This window comes from Homo sapiens, chromosome 17, assembly GCF_000001405.40.
Source record: "Homo sapiens chromosome 17, GRCh38.p14 Primary Assembly".
NCBI classification, from domain to species: Eukaryota; Metazoa; Chordata; class Mammalia; order Primates; family Hominidae; genus Homo; species Homo sapiens.
The window spans coordinates 67,558,896-67,581,703 of record NC_000017.11 but is presented as its reverse complement, the minus strand read 5'-3'; the positions used below and the strand labels follow the sequence as shown (position 1 = coordinate 67,581,703).

Genomic DNA, 22,808 nt, shown 5'->3' with positions numbered 1-22,808 from the left:
CAACCAACAGCCGCTGAATATGTAAAACAGAGGAGGGCAAATTGGCAAAGAAGTCTAATGAAGTGGGGCTGGGCCGTGTGGTCCAATGGCCTCAGGAGCAAGACCTGGGGTCCGTGGAGCAGGGTCAAGCAGAGCCTGGGGGGCAGGGGGTGGCAACTGGGCCAAAAACACATTTAGGGCCTCTTTAGTGTAACAAGATGGCAGGACTGGGGCTTGGGCAAGTTGGGTGCCATGACAGGCAGACAAGCAGCAGGTCCCCTGGGCAGTTCCAGAGTCCACATTCTGGGGAGAGGGAGGCAAGCCAGGCTACAACAGCTGAGATTTCTCCTAGAGGAAGCAAACTGTGTCCAAGGACTGCACAGAGTGAATAGGTGATAGGTGCTTCTCTTGCAGCCCAGCCTAAGTCTCAAAGGGGCCTGGCCCTTGGCATGGGCCTGGATCCTGATTGTAAGGTGGATAACCTGTTATTTTAAATTCCTAGGAGAGTAGTCAAAAAACCTGAGCACCTGCCAAAAAAGGATGTATAATAATACACAATAACCATATGAATTTTGGGGATGATTTGAACTGGGCAGAGGATAAACCAGATTACAGTGGTCCCACCAATCTATAGGGATCACAGTGAGGCCACGTGTCCCCTCTGCACCTCTTTTTTATTTTTAGGTGGCACTCTGTCACCCAAGCTGGAGTGTAGAGGTGCAAACATGGTTCACTGCAGGCTTGACCTCTTGGGCTCAAGCGATTCTCCCACTGCAGCCTCCCAGGTAGCTGCAACCACAGGTGTGTGTGCCACCACGCCTGGCTAATTTTTTAATTTTGCAGAGATGGGGTTTCACCATGCTGCCTAGGCTGGTCTCAAACTCCTGACATCAGGTGATCCGTCCACCACAGCCTACCAGAGTGCTGGGATTATAGGTGTGAGCCATAGCACCTGGCCTCTCTACACCTCTTCAAATGGAGAGCTGTTTTGAATAAACTCATGGAGATAGAGGCATAGAGAAAAAGAGAGAAAGCAAGGAAATTTGTTTGGAAAGACTAAAAGATATTTAAAAAATTTTTTTCCAGCCAGGCATGGTGGCTCACGCTTGTAATCCCAGCACTTTGGGAGGCCAAGACAGGCAGATTGCTTGAGTCCAGGAGTTTGAGACCAGCCTAGGCAACATGGTACAACCACGTCTCTAAAAAAAACACAAAAATTAGCTGGGCACGGTTGTGTGTGCCGTAGTCCCAGTAGGGGGGCTGAGGTGGGAGGATTGCTTGAGCCCAGGAGGTGGAGGCTGCAGTGACCTGAGATCGTGCTACTGCACTCCAGCCTGGGTGACAGAGCGAGACCCTGTCTTATAAAGAAAAAAAAAATTCCCCCATATTTTCATATTATGCCAGGAAAAGCAATTCAAGCAACTGAACTTTATTATCCTTTTCATGAGAGTCCACAGCTACGTGAAAAGAGTCAAGCTTACTTCAATATCCAGTGACCAGCAATTGTTTAAAGAAGTACACTGAAATATGGAAGGTGGTACAGCCAGGAAAAATCATTATAGGGAAGCATACTTCAGGGCATGTTAAAAATAACATACTATATGATTCAATTCAGGAGGAATTGGTTAAAAAATAAATTTGTCCATAATCTGCAACATGAACCAAATTGCTAACAGAAGTCATCTCTAAATTGTGGGATTGCTATTGGTTTTTCCTTTCTTTTTTCAATACTTTCTTTTTGCATTCTCCAAGTTTGAATAGCCATGTATTAACTTTTTTTTTTTTTGAGACAGAGTCTCGCTCTGTTGCCAGGCTGGAGTGCAGTGGCGCGATCTGCGCTCACTGCAACCTCTGCCTCCCAGGCTCAAGTAATTCTCCTGCCTCAGCCTCCTGAGTAGCTGGGATTACAGGCATGCGCCACCACGCCCGGCTAATTTTTTGTATTTTTAGTAGAGATGGGGTTTTGCCATGTTACCCAGGCTGGTCTTGAACCCCTGAGCTCAGACAATCTGCCCACCTTGGCCTCCCAACATGCTAGGATTACAGGCGTGAGCTACCGCGCCCAGGCTGCTTTCTAATCAGAAAAAAAAAAAAAAAAAAAAAAAAAAAATCACTATTTTACAAGGATTCAAGTTGAAACACAGTGTGACACTGTTTTAGGCATGGTGGTTTTGATGAATTTGGCCAGCAACGCGCCTGTGATTTCAGGCTGTGACAGGAAAATGGCCCTAAACATTTCCCATTGGGCTGCCACTTCAAGGAGACACTAACGATGGGGTTCCTGAACAGAGTGGTAGGATAGTACTGCTGCCAGCTGTATTTTTCTCTCCTCTGGGAAGTTCCATGAACTCTGGGGAAGCCCCGAAGCTTCTAGATCCAGGTTCTTCCTTTCAACGGGTCCTGAGGGAACCCACAGCCTAATCCCAGGTGAGGCTTTTGGTAGGTCAAAACAGTCACCCCCAAAGAAAAGAGAAGTTAGAAATTTACTGCCCAAACAGAAAGAGCCTGGGGGTAAAAGCCAGGTCAGAAGATGGGTTTTACCCAACACTAATAAGCAAAATACTTGGCTGAAATTTAGTAAAAGTCAGAATGCCTCAGGAGGTAAATATTTTGTGGGGGTACCCCCTGATTTTAAGGTAGGATGTGTGGGTGTATACATACACCGCATGTGTGTAAGTAAGCATGCATGCAGTATGCACACACATATCTGATTCTATTTCCTTTTCTCTTTTTTTATTTTTTTGAGATGGAGTCTCGCTCTGTGGCCCAGGCTGAAGTGCAGTGGTGCAACCTCGGCTCACTGTAACCTCTGCCTCCCAGGTTCAAGCAATCCTCCTACCTCAGCCTCCCAAGTAGCTGGGATTACTGGTGTGCACCACCACGCCCAGCTAATTTTTGTATTTTTAGTCGAGACAGGGTTTCGCCATGTTGGCCAGGCTGGTCTTGAACTCCTGATCTCAGGTGATGTGCCTGCCTCAGCCTCCCAGAGTGCTGGGATTACAGGCGTGAGCCACTGCACCAGGCCTGTATTTCCTTTTCTGTTCACACATACATCTGACTGTATTTCCTTTTCTGTGTACACATATCTTTGATTGTATTCCCTTTCCGAAGTAGATATTAATAGGCATTGAGAAGATGTGTACTCTGTCCAATGATCAAAAACCAAATCTTGGAGTTCCAAGTGCCCTGTCATCCTCTCCACCTCCATGACAATCACCCCAGGTCAGAGGCTTCTGCTCAGAGGCCCAGGGAAAGTACATAAAAATGAGAAGAAAGAAAAGCTAGACAACAAAAGAATTCCAGGGAAAAGTCCCAGGGAAATAACCCTCAGAAGCCAAAGGCCAGAACATCTCTGAGGTCCCAGGCACAGGTCCCACTGCTGGCCCTGGTCACAGAGGGGCTGTGAGAAGTGCTGTGATATTCAGAGCCCACGAGGCGAGCGCAGCATGGAAGGAGGGGCTACTCACGGTGTCATTGCTTCCTTTGTTGTCCTCATACTTGGTTTCTATATGAATGGAGAATTTCGGCAGAAAGGAACACTGTGGGAGAAAAGCAAATTTTCATTAGCATAACATTTTTTCTCTCTTCCTATATTCAGCAGAGCTTCTGAATACTTTCCTGGCCATTTGGTTGCAAGCACCGTCCCGGAACAGAAATGTTAAGATACTAAGTCAATATCCAAATTCAGACAAAGGAAAGCCGCCTTTAGGACAATGAACACAGTTTCATCCAGACAGAGGTCAGGCCACAGAGAATAACCAGCAGTAGAGGGCAAGTCCCTGAAGAGAACATTTCCAAAAGGAATATGTTCTGTGACTCCTAGCATAAGCTTTAGAAAAGCAAACCCCTAAATCACGCCAGTTCCAGTTCTGGTGAGCTTACTTTTGGGGAGCAGCTACCATTGCTGGATTCCTGGGGACCCAGCCTTAATCTTTATATAAATGCTCATATAACATTAGCAAGGGGATATAGTAGAACTTTAAAGTCATAGATTATTGAAGTCAGACAGACCTGGCTTTTATTTTTAATTTTTAAAACATAAATTTATTTTTAATTTTTAAAACATAAATTTATTTTTAAAGTAAAATAAAAAAAATTTTTAAATTTATTTTAAATTTTAAATTTTATTTTTAATTTTTAAATTTTATTATTTTTTATTGTTTTGAGACAGGGTCTTGCTCTGTCGCCCAGGCTGGAGTGCAGTGGTGTGGTCTCGGCTCACTGCAACCTCCACCTCCCAGGTTCAAGTGATTCTCATGCCTTAGCCTTCCGTGTAGCCCGGCTAATTTTTGTATTTTTAGTAGAGATAGGGTTTCTCCATGTTAGCCAGGCTGGTCTCGAACTCCTGAGCTCAAAAGATCTGCCCACCTTGGCCTCCCATAGTGCTGGGATTACAGATTACAGGCGCCCGGCCTTCTTTTTATTTTTATTTTTGAGACAGAGTCTTACTTTGTCACCCAGGCTGGGGTGCAGTGGTGCAGTCACAGCTCACTGTAACCTTGACCTATGGGCTCAAGCGATCCTCCCACCTCAGCCTCCCAGGTAGCTGGGACTACAGCTATAGGTGTGTGACACCATGCCTGGCGGATTTTTAAAATTTTTTTGGTAAAGGCAAGGGTCTCTCTCTGTTGCCCAGGCTGGTCTCAAATTCCCGGCCTTATGCGATTCTCCCGCCTCGGCCTCCCAAAGTGCTGGGATTACAGCCATGAGCCACTGCATCCGGGCGAGACCTGGCTTTTAATATGTAATTTGGATAAGTCATTTAACTTCTCTGAACCCCAACAGAGTTAAAACAGGAGTAATAATTATTACCTAAGAGCAACACTGTGAGGGTTAAATATTAATAAAATGATGTTTTAAAAATGTATAATACTGGGCAGCAAGAATGCATTCAGCAGACAGCATCCATGGGTAGAAACTGAACCAGAAAAGGCAGCCCCTGTCTTTGTCTTTGTCCACACGAGGGACAGAAACCCCAAATGCAACCCAGCCCTACAGCCCCAGTCTCGCTGAGTCAAGTCCTATGCATTCAGTAGATGTGAAGGGTTAAGGTGGCTTAAGAAGAGAATTTTGATGGATGTTGGTGTAACCACGCTCTAGCTAGCCCTAAGCTGGGCATTAACTTTCTTGGCCACCAGAGATGGGATTGACGGCTAATGGGCAAAATGACCCAGCACCTGCATTGGGATCTGTGGGTGTTGGGGAAACCAGACTTGGCCTGATAGCATCACAGTCCCAAGAGGCTGGATCCCTTATACATGATTCCAGTACTCACATACTGTCTATACCAGACACTGCTACAAATGCTCTGATGCTCTCACTCATTTATTCCTGGCAACAATCCCGTGAAGGAGGTACTATTACCATCCCCCCCTGCTTTAAAGATGAGGAGATGGAGGTGCAGAGAGGGTAAGTAAATGGCCTACAGTCTCATGCAGCCAGGTGGCCAGGTCTCAGTGTCCATACTCTTCACCATACTGAGTGGTTCTCAAAGAGGAGTTTCTGGACCAGCTCCAGCAGCCCAGAATTGTTAGAAATGCAAATACTTGGCCAGGCACGGTGGCTCATGCCTGTAATCCCAGCACTTTGGGAGACCAAGGCAGGCATATCACCTGAGGTCAGGGGTTTGAGACCAGCCTGGCCACCATGGCGAAACCCCGTCTTTACTAAAAATACAAGAATTAGCCAGGTGTAGTGGTGTACCCCTGTAATTCCAGCTACTTGGGAGGCTGAGGCACGAGAATCGCTTGAACCTGGGACGTGGAGGTTGCAGTGAGCTGAGATCATGCCATTGCACTCCAGTCTGGGCAACAGAGTGAGACTCAGTCTCAAAAAAAAAAAAAAAGGAAAGAAAGAAAGAAGGAAGGAAAGAAAGAAAGAAAGAAGGAAGGAAGGAAGGAAGGAAAGAAAGAAAGAAAGAAAGAAAGAAGGAAAGAAAGAAAAGAAAGAAAGAAAGAAAGGCAAATTCTTCAGCAGACCAACTAAATCAGAAACTCTGGAGGTGGGGTTCAGCAATCTGTTTACCAAGCCCTCCAGTGTATGCTGAGGCATGCTCAACCTGGAAAACCACCTGGCTATAGCACACACATGCTTCAGCCGCACAATGACCACGCTCCCCTTTCAGCCCAGCTGAGACCCCTGGTGGCACCTGCACGAGAAGACAGAGGCCTGGGACGTGCCATCGATAATTCTCCTGACATCACATGCCAGGACGCGTTCAGCACGCATCTGTCTTAATCTGAGTGAAACAAGGGATCTGAACCGTGACTAAGGAAACACGGAAACAATCAATCCCAGTAATTGCCTTTATGGAGAACAAGGCCCTGCGATTATTCATTAACACCCTCTCTGCTGTCTCCTCTCAAACTTCTCACTCCATAACCGCTGCCCTTATATCCGGGTTCAGGTAGCACCAAGGAGCAGCTGCTCATCTCAAATGAAGACGCTGGAGGACTCAGAGCCCCAAAGCAGACATGAGAACGTGGGGGGATGCCCTGGCTGAGACCCTCTTAGACACGACAAGCCTTTAGGTAAATCGATTTTGTATTTTTTATCCCATAATTCATATGAGAGTCAAACCAAGGAGTGGGGAGAGTACAGAGTTGTGGAGCGTGGGTGTGGGTCTCGGTGCACCAGAGTGGAACACTGTGAGGAGTTTTTACCCACTGAACCTCTAAACCACTTAGCTAGCCCAACACATGAATTTTAGCATTTGCGTATTAAACCCAATTATGAAATGCAAAACTCCCATGCAAATTAGCAGATGTTGTTATTTTTGAGTGGGGACTTTGGTTATTTTCATATCAGAATGGCAACCTTGCCACGAGGCTAGGAGTAGTGCACCTGGCTTCAGCAGGGTGGCCAGAGAACAGCTCCTGGTAACTCCAAGCGGGTCAGTACTTTCTCCTTCGGCAGGTGGTTGGGGCTGATAATCCCCTTGGGATGTCTGATGACTCGTTCTCAGAGTCCTGGGGTGTGCGGGTGTCTTGAGTTAAAATCAGAATTATCTGTGGCTCTGGGCTTCTTCAGTGCCGTCACTGAAATCTCTCAGGGGTGATGTCCATGTTAAGATAACCTTCTGCCTCCCCCATGCAGGCTGGTTTCTCCAAAAATCCAGCCCACTAATCCTAGCGGAAGCTTAGCTTTAAAGCAAGGTCTTTTATTTCTTCCTGATTGGCTCCCTGTTATATCTCATCCACTGATCTATCCTACATCCCTTACCCTCTCAAGGTCCCTTGCCTGGCTTCACCCTTTCTCCCCTCTCCCTTGCAGCTGATCACTTTGAGTCATAGTTTAATGAGGACATGAACTGCATGATAGAAACACTGACACATCCCTTTCCTCCATTACAAATCTGCTTATTTCTTTACGTTTCTTATTCTTTGTGAATCCGAGAAAGATATATCCTCCTCTTTTTCAGTGGAGAAATAATATAATGAAAAGCACTGAGACATCAGAGCCAGCTGACTTGGGCTCAAATCCAAGATGTATCAACCTGGGCAAGTTATTTTACTGTTCTCAGCCCCAGTTGCCCCAGGTGGAGAATGGGGACAATCCTTTTCCGCTCTGTAGGAGTGTTCAGAAGATCAATGAGATCACACAGCTAAACCCCAGCACAGTGACTGGCACATAGTAGGTGCACAGTACAAATTATTTGTAAGCTCTTCTCTGGAACCTTGTTTCATTGATTATTTGCATCTTTTCCCTGCTTCCTTCCCACAGCCTAAAAATATAATGAAAAGAGACACAGTCTTAAAAAATAAATAAGCACAAAGTTCCCTTGATCCTATTTCTTCCCCCATCTATAATCAATTCCGTATCTCTTTCTGTCTTCATAAAAAAACTTATTAAAAGAGTAGTCAGTAGCCGGGCATGGTGGCTCATGCCTGTAATCCCAGCACTTTGGGAGGCCGAGGTGTGTGGATCACCTGAGGTCAGGAGTTCAAGACCAGGCTGGCCAATGGTGAGACCCCCATCTCTACAAAAATACAAGAATTAACTGGGCATGATGGCAGATGCCTGTAATCCCAGCTACTCGGGAGGCTGAGCGGGAAGAATCGCTTGAACCCGGGAGGCGGGGGTTGTAGTGAGCTGAGGTTGCGCCACTGCACTCCAGCCTGGGCGACAGAGCAAGCCTCCATCTCAAAAAAAAAAAAAAAAAAAAAAAAGAGTATTCAGTTTCAGTGCTTCCTGTCTCTACTTTTTCCACCTCCCACCTGATCATCAAAGGATTTCCAAAGCAGCATCACTCTTCCATTTGCACCCTGGAGACCTCTCTACACTGCAATATGACTGAGCAACTCCTCCATCCTGAGCAGCAGTTCACCCTTTCCTCCCTCCTCCACTCCTTCCCTACAGGAGATCCCTCAGGTCCTACCCTACCTACAGCCTCTTTTCTTGATCCAAACCCTCTCCCCTGGTGATCTCATCTGCTTCTGACTTTTCATGATTTTTTTCTTTTTTGGCAGATGCCTCCCAAATCAACATCGCAAATTCCAACTCCTCTCACATTTCCAGGTGCCCACTGGCCATCCCCAACAAAGACCCTACAGGTTCATCAAACTTGAAAGGTCCAGAATGAACGCGAATGTTCTCCCTGACTGTACTGGTACTCTAGAATTATCGTAGCCAATTCCACAAACTGCGTGGCTTAAAACAGCAGCAATTTATTCTCTCACAGTTCTGGAGGCCAGAAGCCTGAAACCAAGGTGTTGGCAGAGCCATACTACCTCTGAAGACTCTGGGAGAGAATCTGTCCTTGTCTCTTCCAGCTGTTGGTGGCACCGGGAGTGGGTGCATCACTCCAGTCTCTGCCTCCGTCTTTACATCCCCTTCTTCCCTCTGGGTCTCTGTGCTCTCTTCTCTTCTTACAAGGACAAAAGTCATTGGATTTGGACCCACCCTAAATCTAGGTAGGTCCACTCCCCCTTCCCTGGAAAACTTCCTGCTGTCAGGTCTTTTTTTTTTTTTTTGGCCATGGTACTCTCAGCCCGAAATTTCTTTCCTAAATCTTACTCAAAGACCATCTCAAGTACCACTTCGGAATGATTATCCCATGCATGCTGGCAGCATTCTGTTTGTCCCTTTATCACAGCGCGTATCTCCTTTGTCACCATTACCATTAGCTATCTGTGTCCCAGGCTCACCAACCATGTGGTAAGCTCACACTCTAACAGGAGGGTGCCCCCCTAATACCAGCACCACTAGGAATGGTGGTCATCAAAGTCACCCCCCTTCTTCTTTACCCCCCCCCCCCGCTTTACCCAGCTTCTTCAGGTGTTAAAGCATCTCCTTTAGTTTAGGTTTGCTCAAATAATGCTTTCTGTAACTAAGACTTTTGCTTCCACTAGGAATATACCATCTAACCTAGTCATTCTCAATGTCAATGGGGAGACGGGAACCCCACTTTCCAACCCTGGACTTTTTCTCAAAATATGCGCTGTTCCCTAAAGATCCTGATAAATGTCCTTGGGTGGAGGGATTCTATATCACCGAGGGATCTGTCAGGAGTGTGGGGGTGGAAAAAACGTTGGGAACCCTGATGTAACCACACCTGAACTTGCTCCAAGAAGAGAGACACTAGGGTCGTCAGCCATTGGCTAAAACAGAAAAAGATGTCTAAGGGCTGCTGAAGCATCCCGTGCTCTCTAAGGAACAGTCATTTGGAAATGCTGAATGTCTAAAGTCCCATTTGGCCCACAGCATATGAAGGAAAGACTGAAAAACCCACGGCAGACAGAATTCTGAGATGGCCTCCAGAGTCCCAGCCACTGGTGCACACATCCTGTGTAATCCTTCCCTTCGGGTGTGAGCAGAACCTGGGGATATGATGGGCTGTCACTCCCCTGGTTGCCCCCCAGAACCTTCAGAGGGAGCACAGCTTTTGATTGATAGCAAAAAGACAAGACAGTCAGTCACTCCTGAGAGTGTATACAAGACTTCACTTTAGAAAAAGCAGAGATTCTTTTGTTGGCTTTGAAGTTGTGAGATAGCCACGTGGATAGGACCCAAGAGAGGTCTACTGGGAACTGAGAGTGACAGCCGGAGAAGAACCAGCTAGAAAACGCGACCTTCGTCCTTCAACCACAAGGAATGAATCCTGCCAACCACCAGTGAGCGTGGAAGAGGACCCTGCATTTCTGGTGAAACTAGAACCTTGGTTGATGCCTTGATTTCTACCTGGTGAGTTGCCTGAGCCAAGGACCCAGCTAGCCTGGGTTCCAACTCCTGACCCATGGAAACTGCAAGATAACAAACTTGTGTTATTTTTCTTCTCTTCTCTTTTCTTTTCTTTTTTGAGACAGAGCCTCATTCTGTTGCCCAGGCTTGAATGCAGTATAGCTCAGCTCGCCGCAGCCTTGACCTCCTGGGCTTAAGCAATCCTCCCGCCTCAGCCTCCTGAACAGCTGGGATCACAGGCATGCACCACCACACCCAGCTAATTTTTTTTACTTTTAGTAGAGATGAGCTCTCACTGTGTTGCCCAGGTTGGTCTCAAACTCCTGAGCTCAAGCGATCCTCCAACCTCAGCCTCCTAAAGTGCTGGTATTATAGGCATGAGCCATTGCACCCAGCCACTTGTGTTGTTTTAAGTTGCTAAATTTGTGGGAGATTTGCTACACAGCAAGAGAAAACCAACACAACACTCAGCCTGCTGGCTGCCTTCTTCCAAATCACCCATCTGGTTTTCATCTGAGTAAAGCATCACCGACTCTGAGGTTCAAGCAAGTGCAAGGGAAGGGGGAATTGGTGCTTTTTCTGACTTATTAGTTCCACCTATGATGCCACCTGCTTTGTCAATCAATGGCCACTGCTTATTGCCCAGGGTGATATTTACTAGTAACTGATGTCAGCAAGCTTGTCATTATCTGGTGTCCAGATGCAGCAGCAGGCACCTAACCCACAGAGAGGGAGGATGATGATTTAGTAGGAAAAAAAAAAAAAATACAGATTTTTGGAGTAAAACAGACTTCAGTTCAAACCGCAGCTTCTTTTCCAACAAACTGTGTGACTTGGGGCAAATTCACGATTCCCTCTGAGCTTCAGTTTCCTCATCTATCAAATGGAGACAATTGCAACCTCAAAGCTGTGGGGTGAGAATGAAAAGAGATAACGAATGTCCAGGGCCAGGCAGCGCCTGGCAGATGCTGGAGAGATGTTGGTCCACTCCATTGTACCCTCCTAGGCAATGTGGACGAGAAAGCTGAGCTGGGGTCAAAGGCAGATCCTCCACTATGAAGATGCAAGGATGCAGAGGCTTCCGGAAAGGCATCCACAGGACACCTGATGGCTTCTTCCCATGGCAAGGAAGGCAGCCAAACCACAGAGCAGATCTGGGCTCTTCCAGACTCACTCTGAATCCCTGACCTGCTCTGCTGCTGAGGAAATGTCACCACGTGTCCCAGGCTCCATCCTTGGCAGCTCCTTCTTCTGGGCAGGTGCCCCTTCCACTGGCCTCTTCTCTGAGCTTTCCCTTGGCCCCCTGCTGACTTCATGCAGGGAACAAAAACTCTACCAGGATCTCCGTGAACTCTTTTCTTTCCTAGATCTAAAGGGTGCACGTCCGCTGGTTCACTCAACCCAATCGCCAAAACCAAGGCTCAAAGAAGTTAAGAAACAGAAGCATAAAACAGAAGTTGGGAACCCTTGAGGCCACAGAGATGACTCTGCTTACAGGCAGAGGGGGAGGCAAAAAAGCACGCCTGTCCCTGGAGCCTGGGGGAAATCAGTGAGTCATTTCTGTCCCTCTCCACCTCTTCTTCCTCCTCTGGGCTCACTCCAGGTCTCGAATCCTCTTTCTCATGAAAAATCTTTTCTTTTTTATCTCTCTCTCCCTCTTCTTGACTAAAGGCACAGCTTGGCAGGGAGAATAAAGCAGAGAAAGCATCATAGAAAATATTCACTTAATTACATCCAGTGTTTATTTTGCCCCAACCCCCTAAAAACAGTAGCAGTGTTAGGAAGAAGTCAGGGAGTCAAGGCAGGAGCTCTCCTGTCATCTCATCTTTGATTTTCTAGCTTAGATCCACGTAAGCCAGAGGAATCTTATAGGTGTTGCTGCCATCTGCTCCCTGCCATGACCCTCTTCCTTTTATCTGGTGTCTAAGCATCTATAATTGGCCTTCCAAACCCAACGGAATCCACCAGGATGAACCTCTTATTGAAAAGTGATATTCTGGTACCTGTAAAACCTCCAGCACCCAAAACTCAATGTGCAGAAAAGTGATGGTGGAACATTTAAATGCAGCTACTTGTAGCTTTTGGAAGTGACGGGTGGATCTGCAGTGGGGAAGAAGAACGCCAGGAAAGACAAGTGAGGTTTCTGGGTCTCTGCAAGAATAATTTCCAGACACAAGCCCTCCCAGGTTCAGTGTCGGGAAATGAAAGCAGCATATGCAAAATGCACGGCAGAACTGAATTTCCAATTCACTACAGACATGCTTTGGAAAACATGAAAGAGCTATTTTTGGTCCAGTGATCGATTAGGGTTGCTATGGCAATAAGAAACACTTACAGGAACAAAATGAAATGTAAGCAAACCAAAGTCTTAAAGAGAAAGGGTCAGACACATTGGGGATTTCATAGTCAGTTTCTGGGTGGTGCTGGCAGCCCTTATTTCTGTCTCAGCACCTGCATAGGGAGAGAGACGATAGTGGCTGCAGTGAATGGGGGCCCTGGGGATGGGTCTGAGGCTCTCTAGGGCACTGCACTTCAGAAGCAGGAAGTGCGAAACTTCTGGAAGAATGTACACCGCTCACTTTGAAGACTGTCATTATTGTCATCAAAGGATACTGTATTTCCACAGCACCTAGCCTGTGGCAAAAACGTAAGCTAAAATGTATTAATCCTACCCTATCCCACTTTACAATGTAAAAGAAAAATAAAAGTATTCTCTATGACAGTGTATTTCTAAGACCTACTTAATGATGCCTCATTTGCTGGGCTTGTTAAAAACAGATTCCAGGCCTCTCTCCCGATGCCTCGCTTTCAGTAAGCTGGTATATTCTGGGAGCCCACCCCCAAACTCAGGAGCTGTTTCCCCCTTTTCCCCCCAAAATATAGCTTTACTATTCAGCAGGCAGAGGCAGGAGGATCACTTGAGCCCAGGAGTTTGAGGCTGCAGTGAGCTATGATCACACTACTGCATTCCAGCCTGGGTGACAGAGCAAGCAAGATCCCATCTCTAAAAAAATAAAATAAAATAAATAAAAAATAGCTTTATTCACATACCATATAATTCACCCATTTCAAGTATACAAGTTAATGGTGTTCAGTATATTCAGAGTTATACAACCATTAGGACAATCTAATTTTAGAACATTTCCATTACCTCCCAAAGAAGCCCTGTATCCATCAGCAGTCACGTCCCCATTCCCGCCTACCTGCAGCACCACAATGTACGCAACTCCTAATCTACTCTAAGATTTGTCTATTCTATACATTTCCTACAAATGGAAGTGTATCATATGTGGTCTTTTGTTCCTGGCTTCTTTCCCTTAGCATGTTTTCAAGGCTCATCCATGTTCTAGCATGTATGGGTACTCCATTCCTTTTTCTGGCCGAATGATAGTCCATTGTACGGACATACTACATCTGATTTCTCCATTTATCAGTTGATGAACATTTGTTTCTATTTTTTGGCTACTATGAACAATACTGCCACAGCTATTCTTGTGCGAGTTTTTGTGTGGATTTCTATCTTTCTTTCTTCTTTCTTCTTTTCTCTTCTCTTCTCCTTTCTTTCTTTCTTTTTGAAATGGAGTCTCACTCTGTTGCCCAGGCTGGAGTGCAGTGGTGTGATCTTGGCTCATTGCAATTCCACCCCCTGGGTTCAAGCGATTCTCCTGCCTCAGCCTCCAGACTAGCTGGGATTACAGGCACCTGCCACCATACCTAGCTAATTTTTGTATTTTTGGTAGAGATGGGGTTTCACCATGTTGGCCAGGCTGGTCTCAAACTCCTGACCTCGTGATCCACCCACCTCGGCCTCCCAAAGTGCTGGGATTACAGGTGTGAGCCACTGCGCCCGGCCATGTTTTCATTTCTCTTGAGTGTATACCTAGAGTGGAATTGCTGATCACACTGTAACTCTATGTTTAACCTTCTGAGGAACTTCCAGACGGCTACCCCATTCCAAAGTGGCTGCACCCTTGTACATTCCCATGAACAGTGTAGGAGAGTTCCAACTTCCCCACCTCCTTGATAGCACGTCTCGTCGCCCAGGTATTTCTTTTTTTTTTGGAGATGGAGTCTCACTCTGTCGCCCAGGCTGGATTGCAGTGGCGCAATTTTGGCTCACTGCACGCTCTGCCTCCCAGGTTCATGCCATTCTCCTGCTTCAGCCTCCTGACTAGCTGGGACTATAGGCACCTGCCACCACGCCTGGCTAATTTTTTGTATTTTTAGTAGAAACGGGGTTTACCATGTTAGCCAGGATGGTCTCGATCTCCTGACCTCATGATCCGCCTGCCTTGGCCTCCCAAAGTGCTGGGATTACAGGCGTGAGCCACCGCGCCTGGCCTGTCCAGGTATTTCTTAACTCTGGGAGGTTCTGGGTCAAAATGACAATCCAAAGGAGACCTGGCCAACATTCCACATGTCCAGTGAGGGACAGACACAACCCAATACAGAGGTTATAATGACAATAGTGTTATACCGTCCTTCCTGTCAACAGGCACTGGTCCGAGTATTTGATATATATTAGTTCATCTATTAACTCATTAACCCTCATACATCCCCATTTTACAGATGAAGAAACAAAGGCACGGAAAGGTCCAACAGTGTGCTGTAAGTCACACAACAAATGCATAGAGGAGATGGGATTCAAGCCAGGCTGTCTAGCTCTGACATGCATGCTTGTGATCTCATGCTGATTCTTAAGTATCAGGAAATCATGGAAGTGCTTCCAGGGAAGCAGAGGTTGAAAGCACAGGCTTTGCTTCTCAGTATGTGCTGTGGCCACTAACAGCAGAGAAAATATGTGTGTGTGAATCTGTCATATGATAGACGTGCCTTGCTTCAAACAAACCCAAATCAGGAAAAGCAGGAGTTACTCAAAAGATATATTAGGGAAATAATTATTCATTTCAGAAATTCATTGGTATTCCTTTAGATGCCAAATTACCCTAGTACCTTGAAAACACAATAATTTTCAAAAACTGAATTGAAATATAATGGCTTAGGTTAATTCTTATTATGAAAGTGCTTTTAAAAACAGGTCCAGGCCCTGTGGGTGGCTCATGCCTGTAATCCCAGCACTTTGGGAGGCTGACACGGGTGGATCACTTGAGGCCAGGAGTTTGTGACCAGCCTGGCCAACATGGCAAAACCCTGTCTCTACTAAAAATACAAAAATTAGCTGGGCATGGTGGTGCACGCCTGTCATCCCAGCTACTAGGGAAGCTGAGGCAGGAGAATCGCTTGAACCTGGGAGGCAGAGGTTGCAGTGAGCCAAGATCGCGCCACTGCACTCCAGCCTGGGTGACAGAGCAAGCCCCTGTATCAAAAAACAACAAACAAACAAAAAACCCTGCCCAGAACTCCAGCATGAATTCTGAGATGTGAAAAAATATTACAAAAAAACACATGTTCATTAACTGTATTGTTGGTCCTATAAAAAAACTTGGAAACAAGTCAAAGTTCACCAGTAGAAGGCTGGTTAAGTACATTGGGATCGACTCTAAAACCATTAAAAAAACAAAGTGTAAAACAGGATAGCCCCATTTTTGTAAAAACAAAAAGAAAGTAGACTAGTATCCACACTGAAATACATGGAAAAACTAGTATACACATCGAAAAACATGGAAAACGAGTATACACACTGAAAAACATGGAAAACAAGTATACACACCGAAAAAACATGGAAAAACTAGCATACACACCGAAAAACATGGAAAACTAATATACACACCAAAAACCATGGAAAATGAGTATACACACTGAAAACCATGGAAAACTAGTATACACACTGAAAAACACAGAAAACTAGTACACACACTGAAAAACATGGAAAATGAGTATACACACTGAAAACCATGGAAAACTAGTATACACACTGAAAAACACGGAAAACTAGTACACACTCTGCAAAACATGGAAAACAAGTATACACACTGGAAAACATGGGAAACAAGTATACACACCGAAAAAACATGGAAAAACTAGCATACACACCGAAAAACATGGAAAACAAGTATACACACCAAAAAACATGGAAAAACTAGCATACACACCGAAAAACATGGAAAACTAATATACACACCAAAAACCATGGAAAATGAGTATACACACCGAAAACCATGGAAAATTACTAGTACACACACTGAAAAACATGGAAAACTAGTATACACACTGGAAAACATGGAAAACAAGTATACACACTGAAAAAACATGGAAAAACTAGTATACACACTGAAAAACATGGAAAACTAATATACACATCAAAAACCATGGAAAATGAGTATACACACCGAAAACCATGGAAAATTAGTATACACACTGAAAAACACAGAAAACTAGTACACACACTGAAAAACATGGAAAACTAGTATACACACTGGAAAACATGGCAAATGAGTATACACACTGAAAAATATGGAAAAACTAGTATACACACTGAAAAACATGGGAAACAAGTATACACACTGAAAAACATTGAAAAACTAGTATATCCACTGAAAAACATGGCAAACGAGTATACACACTGAAAAACATTGAAAAACTAGTATATCCACTGAAAAACATGGCAAACGAGTATACACACTGAAAAACATTGAAAAACTAGTATACCCACCGAAAAACATGGGAAAATATTCTCATGGAGGAGAGTAGTGGAAATTATGAAGTTCTTTTATTTTCTGTGGTATAGATTTTTATAATGCTTGGATGTTACAATAAATATCTACTATTTTAGTAAGCAGAAAAAATTTAAATCCAATTTAAAAATGAGTGAATACATCAATGGCATCCCAGAGTAACTATATTATCTTACAGGAAGTCACAAGGTTTTCCAAAAATTCTTATAATTTAATCTACTTTAACTTAAAGAGGATTATGTTATAAAGAACACTATGATGGTTAATTTTAGGCGTCAACTTGACTAGATTAAGGAATACCTAGAAGCCTAGTAAAGCCTTATTTTAGGTGTGTCTGTGAGGGTGTTTCCAGAGACTGTCATGTGAGTTGGTATGCACTAGGTGAGGAAGATCCATCCTCAATGTGGGTGGGCACCATCCAACCTGCTGAGGGGCTGGAGAGGACCAATACAGAGGAAAGGCAAATGTATGGATCTATCTGCTGGAGTGGGGACACACTCCTCCCCTCCTGTCCTTGGATAACGACTCCAGGCTCCTCAGCCTTTGGACTCCAGGACCTACACTCGCGGCTCCCCTGGTTCTAAGCCTTCTGACTTGGACTCAGCCACACTACTGGCACCCCAGGGTCTCCAACTTGCAGGTGGGCTGTTGTGGGACTTCTCAGCTTCCCTAATCATGTGAGCCAATTTCCCTAGCAAATCCCCTCTCATCCATCCATCCATCCATCCATCCATCCATCCATCCATCCACCCAATCTACCTATCTAATCTATCTTTTTATCTAATCTGTCTACCTATCTAATCTATCCATCTATCTGTTAATATCTATCAATCCATCCATCCATCCAATCTACCTATCTAATCAATCTATCTATTAATATCTATCATCTATCTATCTACTTAATCTAGCTAATCTATCTATCCATCTCTCTTATCTATTAATATCTATCAATCATCTATCTATTCATCCATCTATCTAATCTACATATCTAATCTAGCTATCTAATCTATCTATCCATCCACCCATTTCTCTCTCTCCCCACATCTCCCCCACCATTGGTTCTGTCTCTCTGGAGAACCTTGACTAATATAAGCACCACTAAGTAGACAGAGGAGTTGCAAATCTGTTAAATTTGGGAACTGCTGCTTCAAGTGGTTCCTGTCCCACATACATCACACTTATTCATGGTCTTTAGAGTAGGGCAGGAGCTGAGAGATATTACAGTTCAGTAGTTTTCAAACCATTTTAACTGGCATCAGAGTTTTTCTTTAAATAAAATATTAGGGACAGAATGGCCACTGAGACCTGTCCATGGAATCTCCTGGACCTAAAGGAGGACAGTTTGAAAACCACTCATTGAGAAGAACCCTCAGCCCAGTAACTCAACGCTTTATTCTTGTTTACCAGCCCAAATTCTTCCATGTCTGAGAGCAGCACTTTACAACGGGCCTAACATCAAGAAAGTTAAATGGAAGAGTTGAGGAGCTGGCTTGGGGTTGATGAAGTATTTATAGGCTTTTAAAAGACAATTTCCTTTTAGCTTTTATCTGGAATTCAATGCATTCTTCTCTTGCCATCTTGTTCCAACAGTATGTAGAACGTGTTCCCTGCTATCCACAAGCACGAAACTCTATACAGACTTGACTTTCTCTCTAATGGAGTTCCCCTGTAGATGACATCGATTCTCTGGTACTGTATTCTATATTGTCATATTAACTGTGCTCCAAAGCCACACTGGGAATTGCAACTTAAGATGGGATCATTAATAAAACTAGATTTGCAAGTGTTTCCTCTGTTCACCAACAGGAGACTCACATCCAGAATGTTCCACAGTGCTAATGAGGGCAGGCATAGAGTTTAGGGCTTATTATCTTCCAGGACTCTGAGGCTGGAGCTACTGGAAAATAAATGAGAAAAGCCTGTGTTGCTTGAAAAGTAGAAGAAAGTGGATGATAAATGTGTATACAGACAGTTGGTAGAACCTAGATCTTAAAATACCTTTCAGCTTCCTTTATTCATTAAAAAATTTTTATCTCCCCATTTTGATAGAAATTTTACCCCACGCTTGGAAGGCAAAATATAAATTTCTGTTTTGTGCACAGAAGATCTTTAATACACACATCAATTTCAAAAAGGTAAATGTCTGGCCGTCACCCTCTACTCAGAACCTTAGTTATCATACAGGCAAAGATGCAAAGGAAATAAGGGGAGATATTTGAGCTCCCTTCGCCCTTCTGCCTTGTGAGGGTTACGTATGACTTTAGATACAAATAAGGTGGGTGGTTATGGTGACAGGGTAGTTGGAGAAAAAAATTGCAAAGAAGATAGTTCCACAAAAGTGAGAAGAAGAACTCAAGTGGGGAAAAAAAAAGTAGACTTTTCAAGGAAAGAGGAAAGGAAGAAAAGGAATTGCATGTAAATAATAGAGATGAGGATGAATCAGAGTGACTTCCTAAATATATGCTGCATAGGAAGAAAAATGTGGCCAAGAGGAATGGTGGGACCTGAAAGAGATGTGGAGGAGGGTGAGAGGAAGGGACTGTGTGGAAGGCAGAGCTCCGAAACACAGCCGGAAAACAGCTGCTTGTATTCCAGCTACAGCATGGAAATGCACGCGGGCCTCTCCGCTGCTCCTCACCAGCCCGCACCCTACACAGAGGCTTCTGTTCATTCATTAGTTCATTCACTCATGGATCCTCTTCCCGTCCTCTGACATGCTGAGTAATAGCAACTCACTAGGAAAGCAAGGCCAGAAGGGAGACAGAGCCGAAGACATGAATGAAAGCATGTTTTCTGAATGGGGGATGGTTTGCTACTCACTTGCACTTCTAGGATAATCATGCAGGGAAACGAAATTCAGGCTCATACGATCTAGGGCTGGACTTGTCAAGGCAGAAATAAGCAGAGGATGCTCATGAATACTGATATCTACATACTATAATGGCAAGACAAGAATTTAAAGAGACAGGGAGACCACATCAAATAAAAAGAATTGCATGTAAATAACAGAGATAGGGCCAGGCGTGATGGCTCACGCCTGTAATCCCAGCACTTTGGGAGGCTGAGGCAGGAGGATTGCTTGAGCCCAGGAGGTCAAAATTAGCCTGGGCAACATAGCGAAAACCTGCCTCTAATTTATAATTAAAAATAATAATAACAGAGATGGGAATGGATCAGTGTGACTTCCCAAATACAGGTGAGCATATGGCCAGGTAAGAAACTTTCAGACGGCAAGCCTTCTCAGTTAAAAAGGGTTAAGAATCATCCCCCTTCACCAACCTAGCAAATTCTCACTTAAGAAAGTAGAATCGATGTTTAAAATTCTGAACTGAAAAGATGTATCAACACTTGTCTAGACAGTAAAGAAATACACACTATCGTGTAGTTCACATTATCTTACTGATCAAAAAGATCAAAGACCTCAGGGCAATTCTGCATTCCCTTTTTTTTTTTTTGAGACAGAGTCTTACATTGTCACCCAGGCTGGAGTGCAATGGTGAGATATCGGCTCATTGCAACCTCCGCATCCCAGGTTCAAGTGATTCTCCTGCCTTAGCCTCCTGAGTAGCTGGGATTACAGGCACACACCACCACGCCCAGCTAATTTTTGTATTTTTAGTAGAGGTGGGGTTTCGCCATGTTGGCCAGGCTTGCCTTGAACTCCTGACCTCAAGTGATCCACCTGCCTCGGCCTCCCAGAGTGTTGAGATTACAGGCATGAGCCACCACACCCGGCCTTTGCATTCACTTTAATCCCTGAAATATACTATGTTGGTATACCCATAGTCATACTGTTTTATTTTTACAGAAAGAAATCTGCTCACAAAATCTTTCCAGTTGTATTCTGCAGATCTCAACAACTGAGCTGAACACAACTCCACAGACATTTGTAAACTGCAGAAGGGAAATCAAATTTTTCAGTACTGCAAGTGGAAAATAAACAAAAAAGAAGAAAAGGAGAATTTCTTAGTAAAATCTTCTACCAAACATTCCCTTAAACAACTCTGTATTCTCTGCTGATTGCCCTCTGTAAAGTCATTTCGAGTGGTGTTAAAAAAATGCAAACAATTTTAAAATGTTATGTTTTGTTACAGTAGAGCCACGTGTTCTATCACCTGCTCTTTCCCCTCAAAATGGCTGAATTAATTTTCTCTGAAGTCCAAAGAAGAGCTTGGGAACAGCTAGAGCAAGTGGAAACGGGATAATCTGAACAAACAAAACTGGCTGTTCCAAAGCTCCTGCTTCACCAGGCACTAATTGGGGTGCTGAGATGTAGAGGCGAGCTCTGGTCCCACACAAGGGCAGCGGTACATCTGTGAATAGGCTGGTTTGCAACTGGCTCGTCCATACAACCAGTTCATTTTCTAAATGGAAACAAATCCAAATGCACAAACCCACTGCCATCCCAACGTACTGCTGACTTTGCTGTGTGGTTGAACAGAACTGACTTTGCTTGAAAAGGAACTTACGGGTTCTGTGTCACCTGATTCTAAAAATAAAACACTTCCATTACTGTTGGGCATTCTTCAAAAAACTTTGGTATCTGAGTAATAGTCATCTTCAGGCAACACATTAGCTCACTGAAATTTAGAAAAAAATAACATTTACTGAAATAGAATTGATCCACTGGCATAGTTAGTGGGCACATAATGGCTCTGACCTAAAGAGAAGTTTCTGGAACACCTCTAAGTCTTAAAAGATTGGCCTTGCAAAATCCAAGATCCCTTGGACAAATCAGCTCGGGAAACGTTGCATGCCACAGCTCCCTTTGGAGATTCACAATGTACATTAGAATAAGAAAGGCTCTGAGAAGTCCTATAATTATAAAATCTGTTTAGCTCTGTATAGCCCATCCCTTACTTAATGGGCTGTGTACCATCTTGAATGGTAGTTATAAATGGTTCTAGACTGCTTCCATCTAAATTCTCTAGAACTGTGACGATTTTTGAGCTTGGTCGTTCTGGCTCTGTGATGACACCGGTCTCACATAATCTTCTTTGTTTTTGGGTTTTTTTGTTTGTTTATTTTTTGTTTTTGAGACAGGGTCTTGCTCTGTCACCCAGGCTGGAGTGCAGTGGCATGATCCCGGCTCACTGCAACCTCCACTTCCTGGGTTCAAGGTCAGCCTCCCGAGGAGCTGGGATTACAGGCATGCGTCACCATGCACAGCTAATGTTTGTATTTTTAGTCGAGACAAGGTTTCACCATGTTGGCCAGGCTGGTCTCAAACTCCTGACCTCAAGTGATCCGCCTATCTCAGCCTCCTGAAATGCTGGGATTACTGGCATCAGCCACCACACCTGGCCTTACTGTCCTCTTCTCCACAAGGGTGCTTTTCAGGCCCGTGCCTAATTGCTGCCTTGCTCATCAGTGCCCCCAACTGGAGGACTGTTTCTTTGGCCTGGTCCCTAAAAAAAGGATATTTCCCTTTGTCTAAAAAAAATTATGTACTGCACTAAATATCGAGGGTTAATTGTGATACATAGATAAAAGTTATTTCCTAACCCGCTAACTCCTGACTCCATGGCCTCAAAGAAGGGACTCTTAGGGACTTTCACCCTCTTAGCTTACATCGTAGATGAGATAGCCAGATTTTTTTTCTTTAATTTCCTAACAAGCCCAATCCTAGAGGTCTGGTATAATAAACATAATCTTCCCTGGACTTGTTCCTGTGTTCCTAGTTATGAAATACAGTGGTTTGTACTGCCCCTTGGCTGGGACTCAGGGGAAGGTGCGGGGAAGAAAGGCTTAAGAAAGGAGACGGGGCTTGGGAGGAATGGGGGTCACTGGTCTCTAAACACAGCACCTATCAGCTCTTTGGATTACTGGGGGAGCTTGATAAGGCCCAGACTGTGAGGGCAATTCCTATCCCAGATAGTTTAGTGGCTTTCAGAAACATACCTCATTCTCCCCATGGCCACTCCTGGGCAGATAACCCGGGTTCACCTGGGGTGACTGATGACAGACTCTCAGCTGTGAGCAGCCTTTCCTCTCTTTCTTGGCTCTTCTAAACCA

At 44.5% G+C, this 22,808-nt stretch overlaps 1 protein-coding gene and 1 long non-coding RNA gene across 5 annotated transcripts in view, besides 1 other annotated feature; one reads left to right on the top strand and one right to left on the bottom strand.

Moving 5' to 3' along the window:
- PITPNC1 (phosphatidylinositol transfer protein cytoplasmic 1) overlaps positions 1-22,808 on the bottom strand; it is a 319,976-nt gene that overhangs the window by 115,553 nt on the left and 181,615 nt on the right. For all 3 annotated transcript variants that reach the window (NM_181671.3, NM_012417.4, XM_047435746.1), the window contains exon 5: positions 3,447-3,518. In NM_181671.3, the coding sequence (NP_858057.1) occupies positions 3,447-3,518 (72 nt within the window). The remainder of the gene's footprint in view (positions 1-3,446; positions 3,519-22,808) is intronic.
- Positions 6,359-20,814, top strand: LOC124904045 (uncharacterized). Of its 2 annotated transcripts, none has more exons than XR_007065879.1 (3): positions 6,359-6,509; positions 18,384-18,482; positions 20,602-20,814. It is a non-coding gene; the product is annotated as an uncharacterized LOC124904045 (long non-coding RNA). The 2 variants fall into 2 exon arrangements; XR_007065880.1 differs by lacking the exon at positions 20,602-20,814 and adding an exon at positions 18,843-18,928.
- Positions 11,772-11,841: an enhancer, noted in NCBI's record as "active region_12627". NCBI's record gives its function as "activates an Ori minimal core promoter by ATAC-STARR-seq in GM12878 lymphoblastoid cells {active_cell/tissue: GM12878}" and the evidence as "EXISTENCE:reporter gene assay evidence [ECO:0000049][PMID:35858748]".